Source organism: Homo sapiens, chromosome 9, assembly GCF_000001405.40.
Source record: "Homo sapiens chromosome 9, GRCh38.p14 Primary Assembly".
Lineage (NCBI taxonomy): Eukaryota > Metazoa > Chordata > Mammalia > Primates > Hominidae > Homo > Homo sapiens.
The window spans coordinates 86609423-86616453 of NC_000009.12; the positions used below are offsets into that span (position 1 = coordinate 86609423).

At 43.3% G+C, this 7031-nt stretch overlaps 1 annotated feature.

The window, feature by feature from the left end:
* Positions 6058-6559: an enhancer, noted in NCBI's record as "NANOG hESC enhancer chr9:89230395-89230896 (GRCh37/hg19 assembly coordinates)". NCBI's record gives its function as "activates a minimal SCP1, AML or CMV promoter by ChIP-STARR-seq in primed H9 embryonic stem cells {active_cell/tissue: H9 hESC(primed)}" and the evidence as "EXISTENCE:reporter gene assay evidence [ECO:0000049][PMID:30033119]".

Genomic DNA, 7031 nt, shown 5'->3' on the forward strand with positions numbered 1-7031 from the left:
TTTACATTTGCTGAGGAGAGCTTTACTTCCAAGTATGTGGTCAATTTTGGAATAGGTGTGGCGTGGTGCTGAAAAAAATGTATATTCTGTTGATTTGGGGTGGAGAGTTCTGTAGATGTCTATTAGGTCCGCTTGGTGCAGAGCTGAGTTCAATTCCTGGGTATCCTTGTTGACTTTCTGTCTCGTTGATCTGTCTAATGTTGACAGTGGGGTGTTAAAGTCTCACATTATTAATGTGTGGGAGTCTAAGTCTCTTTGTAGGTCACTCAGGACTTGCTTTAGGAATCTTGGTGCTCCTGTATTGGGTGCATATATATTTAGGATAGTTAGCTCTTCTTGTTGAATTGATCCCTTTACCATTATGTAATGGCCTTCTTTGTCTCTTTTGATCTTTGTTGGTTTAAAGTCTGTTTCATCAGAGACTAGGATTGCAACCCCTGCCTTTTTTTGTTTTCCATTTGCTTGGTAGATCTTCCTCCATCCTTTTATTTTGAGCCTATGTGTGTCTCTGTACGTGAGATGGGTTTCCTGAATACAGCACACTGATGGGTCTTGACTCTTTATCCAATTTGCCAGTCTGTGTCTTTTAATTGGAGCATTTAGTCCATTTACATTTAAAGTTAATATTGTTATGTGTGAATTTGATTCTGTCATTATGATGCTAGCTGGTTATTTTGCTCGTTAGTTGATGCAGTTTCTTCCTAGTCTTGATGGTCTTTACATTTTGGCATGATTTTGCAGCAGCTGGTACCGGTTGTTCCTTTCCATGTTTAGCGCTTCCTTCAGGAGCTCTTTTAGGGAAGGCCTGGTGGTGACAAAATCTCTCAGCATTTGCTTGTCTGTAAAGTACTTTATTTCTCCTTTGCTTATGAAGCTTAGTTTGGCTGGATACGAAATTCTGGGTTGAAAATTCTTTTCTTTAAGAATGTTGAATATTGGCCCCCACTCTCTTCTGGCTTGTAGGGTTTCTGGTGAGAGATCCGCTGTTAGTCTGATGGGCTTCCCTTTGTGGGTAACCTGACCTTTCTCTCTGGCTGCCCTTAACATTTTTTCCTTCATTTCAACTTTGGTGAATCTGACAATTATGTGTCTTGGAGTTGCTCTTCTTGAGGAGTATCTTTGTGGCGTTCTCTGTATTTCCTGAATCTGAACGTTGGCCTGCCTTGCTAGATTGGGGAAGTTCTCCTGGATAATAACCTGCAGAGTGTTTTCCAACTTGGTTCCATTCTCCCCATCACTTTCAGGTACACCAATCAGACGTAGATTTGGTCTTTTCACGTAGTCCCATATTTCTTGGAGGCTTTGCTCATTTCTTTTTATTCTTTTTTTTCTAAACTTCCCTTCTCGCTTCATTTCTTTCATTTCATCTTCCATCGCTGATACCCTTTCTTCCAGTTGATCGTATCGGCTCCTGAGGCTTCTGCATTCTTCACGTAGTTCTTGAGCCTTGGTTTTCAGCTCCATCAGCTCCTTTAAGCACTTCTCTGTATTGGTTATTCTAGTTATACATTCTTCTAAATTTTTTTCAAAGTTTTCAACTTCTTTGCCTTTGGTTTGAATGTCCTCCCATAGCTCAGAGTAATTTGATCGTCTGAAGCCTTCTTCTCTCAGCTCGTCAAAGTCATTCTCCATCCAGGTTTGTTCCATTGCTAGTGAGGAACTGCGTTCCTTTGGAGGAGGAGAGGTGCTCTGCTTTTTAGAGTTTCCAGTTTTTCTGTTCTGTTTTTTCCCCATCTTTGTGGTTTTATCTACTTTTGGTCTTTGATGATGGTGATGTACAGATGAGTTTTTGGTGTGGATGTCCTTTCTGTTTGTTAGTTTTCATTCTAACAGACAGGACCCTCAGCTGCAGGTCTGATGGAATACCCTGCCGTGTGAGGTGTTAGTGTGCCCCTGCTGGGGGGTGCCTCCCAGTTAGGCTCCTCGGGGGTTAGGGGTCAGGGACCCTCTTGAGGAGGCAGTCTGCCCATTCTCAGATCTCCAGCTGCGTGCTGGGAGGACCAATGCTCTCTTCAAAGCTGTCAGACAGGAACATTTAAGTCTGCAAAGGTTACTGCTGTCTTTTTGTTTGTCTGTGCCCTGCCCCCAGAGGTGGAGCCTACAGAGGCAGGCAGGCCTCCTTGAGCTGTGGTGGGCTCCACCCAGTTCGAGCTTCCCGGCTGCTTTGTTTACCTAAGCAAGCCTGGGCAATGGCGGGTGCCCCTCCCCCAGCCTCGCTGCCGCCTTGCAGTTTGATCTCAGACTGCTGTGCTAGCAATCAGCGAGACTCCATGGGCGTAGGACCCTCTGAGCCACGTGCGGGATATAATCTCGTTGTGCGCCGTTTTTTAAGCCCGTCGGAAAAGTGCAGTATTCGGGTGGGAGTGACCCAATTTTCCAGGTGCCGTCCGTCACCCCTTTCTTTGACTCGGAAAGGGAACTCCCTGACCCCTTGCGCTTCCCGAGTGAGGCAATGCCTTGCCCTGCTTCCGCTCGCGCACGGTGTGCGCGCCCACTGACCTGCGCCCACTGTCTGGCACTCCCTAGTGAGATGAACCCGGTACCTCGGATGGAAATGCAGAAATCACCGTCTTCTGCGTCGCTCACGCTGGGAGCTGTAGACCGGAGCTGTTCCTATTCGGCCATCTTGGCTCTAGTTTTTTGTATTTTTAGTAGAGACAGTGTTTCACCGTGTTAGCCAGGGTGGTCTTGATCTCTTGACCTCGTGATCCGCCCACCTCGGCCTCCAGAAGTGCTGAGATTACAGGCATGAGCCACCACGTCCAGCCTAGAAAATGGGTTTCTATTATTTGAGGACATCAATTAGTTGAGTTGTGTGCAGTGTGGTGGTGGAGACAGTGGAGACAGTTGAGCAGCATGTGTGCAAGCACAGACACATCAAAGAGAGAGGTATGTTGGGGGGAGCGTGGGTTCTCATCTGACCCCACCTGTGTATAGGCCCCAACTCTAGCCTGATTTCCTGATTTTGTACAAAGATGACAAGCTCATTCCCAACTTCAGATCTTTGCTATTTGCTCTTCTATGTCTACCTACCAGCTCCTTTGCCCTGCCTTTCTCACGCAGCAACACTTTCCATCCCTTACACGTCCATTTATTCTCTAGCTTTCATGGGTCATTTCAAACCTTACCCCCATGCCAGTGCATGCTGGGTAAGTCTGAATTGTAGACCTGAGTGCTTCTGTTTGTATCATCCTACACTTTTTTTTTAAAGTATAGTATTTAGTATCTTAAGTCTTGCAAAAGCTAAGTTTGCTATGGCTTTACTTCTGGATATGCTATAATTTCTACCACAAAGAGTTGGTGCTCAATAAATATTTCTTACTCGATCAGTAGTCATAATGAAAACAATGTAAACAAAGGTATGAGCACCAAGGGTGTAAAAATGTTTTGAGAGTTGTGGGGGAAGCAGAGCAATAGGTGATTTAGTGGTCATTGCCAATCCCAAGTGTTTTCACTGAAAATATGAACTCAGCCATTTAAAAGTGGCTAATAGGTTTGTTTTTGTTCTCACCTAGGTTTCTGTGACTGGCAGATACAGCATGAAATGTGAGTTCTCTGCAAACCGTAGCTAATATTGGAAATGTGTATTGTGGCTTGAAGTTAGGTATCCTACCTGAGCTCACGTATCTTTTCTCTTGCTTCCAGCACAAGAAGGTGAGATTCCACACAGCATGATAATTACCTATTTACCTGCCAAGGCCACCCTCTTGGTGGCTCATTTCTCTAAGGAGAACCTGGGCTCATCACATTCACCACTGTTTCCCTGGGCAAGGCCTCCAGAGCCAGATAGTACATTATCCCTGAAATGAAATTTGAATCAAACACTTCCAGAACAAAAAAAGTTTTTAATTGTCTGTGAACTGTTTTGACATTTTTGTTGCCAGGTAGGTAGGTATGGAAAGTAGTTTTTAAAATAGACATCAGGATCTGTGACCTTTTGCCAGCACGGTCTGATGTCTGAGCTCATGTTTAGTTTAAAGGGCTACCCCTCCAATAAAGATAAGCTTATTAACACATTATTCTCTTTATTTGGCTTTTTAAACCATGATTCTCCTTTGAGACCCAAATTATTCAAACACAGTAAAATGTAAGAAGTGGCAGTGGTCCAGTAGACATAGATTTTGCAGCAATTCAAATCACAGAATTCCAAATACAAAAAACTCACATTTAGGATTAGAATATTGCTGTAGTTTTGTTTTCAAGGTAAATACAGCGTGTGTGTTTGTGTGTGTGTGTATGTGTGTGTGCATACACCATGAGGTCCTGAATCAAATTTGTTCTGTCAATTGTGTTATCAAAAAGAAAAATTACAGGCTAAGCATTCCTAGAGCAAATATGTTTTACTAATATCATATATTTACAATTTATACTCAAACTGCTTCCCAAAGATATTTGAAGCAATTTATATTAATAACTATATATAAAAAAATTCTGTTGTAGCAATGACTCTGTACCAATCAGAAAAATTACAAGCTATACATTCCTAAAGCAAATATGTTTTACTAATATTATCATATATTTATAATTTATACTTAAACTGCTTCCCAAAGATATTCAAGCAACTTATATTAATAACTACATATAAAAAATTCTGCCGTAGCAATGACTTTGTACCAGTCACTGTTCTATTTTTTACATACGTTTCTATATCTTCATATCTGTGTTTTCTGTTTATGTGTATTAACTCATTTAACTGTCCCCATTTTACAGATAAGGAGACTGAGGCACAGAAAGGTTAATTAGCTTCCCCAAGTTTACACGGCTGATGAGGGGCAGAGCCGGGATCCAAACCTAGGTAGTCTGACTTCAGAGCCCAGACCCATGCCCTCTGCCAGCATAATTAGAGTAAAACTGGACAATTCAATATCATACAGAAGTGAGGAAGGAAACAGACCTAAGGCATCGGCTAACATAGTCATTGTGATTAGATATTCAATGCGAGTCTCAAAGTCTTGGCAATTAAGACATAAATGGAAACATATCAGTGAGAGAAAGCCCGTCAGTTCAAAATTCCTGATGCTGAATTTATTTATTTATTTATTTAGACACAGAGTCTTACTCTGTAACCCAGGCTGGAGTGCAGTGGTGCAATCTTGGCTCACTGCAACCTCTGTCTTCCAGGTTCAAATGATTCTCCTGCCTCAGCCTCCCGAGTAGGTGGGATTACAGGCATGCACCACCACGCCCAGCTAATTTTTGTATTTTTAGTAAAGACAGGGTTTTGCCATGTTGGTCAGGCTGGTCTCGAGCTCCTGACCTCAAGTGATCCTCCCACCTCGTCCTCCCAAAGTGCTGGGATTACAGGCATGAGCTACCACACCCAGGCTGATACTGAATTTAAAAAGTAACATCATCATGCAAATGTTTTGGGGGGCTATAAGGCCTCGACTGGTTTACTCAGGATAGTTTAGTCAGCATGTATGTGGGGGAATGGCTGGGTGTCGACTGACCTCTGAGTCTTCCTCACAGGGGCTGGTACTGCTAGCACGGAGGAAATGAGAGGGGGGGACGGGTAATGCCTTCTGGGCCAGCATGTTTGGGGCAAGCAGGGTGTACCTTATGGGGACACACTTTCTGTCAGGAGCAGAGCTGGGCCTCCAAATGAAAGGCATCTGTTGTTCTCAGGCACATTCTTGGCATTTCATTTGAGAGAAATGCCTGATGGCCAAAATACCAGCAACGTGCTTGTAAATAACAAATTCCTCAGAGTTACTGAACACATCTCATCCTCTTTTTCAAAAAAGCTTACAATCATTCTTTTGCAGCTTACATAGATGTATTGTTTGCACACCAGGGTTTTTCCTGTCAAATATAATACATTCCTTTGTATCCTCTTGCAATGATTTTGAAACACACAGTTATCTACCAGAGACTTAGTCCTGAATTCTGGCACCTGAGCATGCATTGTCATGCCTTGTGAGATTCTCATTGAGTGTGCTGTGGGAACGAGCAGGCAAGGCCCCCACTGAAAGCATGGCTGATGACATAGGGTCAGAATCATTCATTCCTTCCACAAATATTTCATGAGTTAGTTCATGGCACATGTTAGGATCTACACTGGGGATTCAATAATGAATCAGGCGTAATCGCTGAAGGAATAGAAGGTCCTTTGGAAAAGTCTGATAGGACATATGCAACTATCATACAGAGTGATAGGTGGTAAAATAAAATTAATGACAGGGTGTTGTGGGCTCTTATTTCAGCAGGGGGCAGAAGTGAGCACAGAGAGATCCTTGAGGAGATGACATCCTAGCTGAGCAGTTGTTCTGAAGATGAGAGTAAGCAATGCTGTAGGAAAAGGCTGTTAGGAAGAAAGGGAGGCATCAGAAAGCCTGGGACAATGGGACAGCAGGTGCTCTGGAAACTCTAAGCAGTTTGGAATGGCTGTAGCACATGCAAGAGGTGAGCTGAGGGGCATGCACTGTCTGGGTCATTTAGTGCCGTGGAGCGTGCTAATAAGTTTGGACTTTCTTTTTTTGGGCAATGTGGAGCCAATGAAGAATTTTAGGTAAGGAGGTAGCATCGTCATCATCACTATCTTTTTCATTGCTCCTTTGTATGACTTATGTGTTAGACAATGTTCTAGGTGTAACATACACAGTATTGCAGTTGATTCTCCCAACAATTCTCTGAGAGAGATACTATTATTATTTCCATTTTGCCATGCAAAGATGGGCTTTAGAGAGTAGAGTCTATTAGCTTGCTGAGGCTGCCAGAATAAAGTACTACAGACTGGGTGGCTTAAGCAACAAAAAAATTATTATTATTATTATTTATTATTATTTTTTGAGACAGAGTCTTGCTCTGTCGCTCAGGCTGGAGTGTAGTGGCATGACCTCGGCTTGCTGCAACTTCCACCTCCCAGGTTCAAGTGATTCTCCTACCTCAGCCTCCCGAGTCGCTGGGATTACAGGCATCTGCCACCATGCCTGGCTAATTTTTTGTATTTTTAGTAGAGACAGGGTTTCACCATGTTGGCCAGGCTGGTTTTGAACTCCTGACTTCAAGTGATCTGCCCGCCTTGGCCTCTC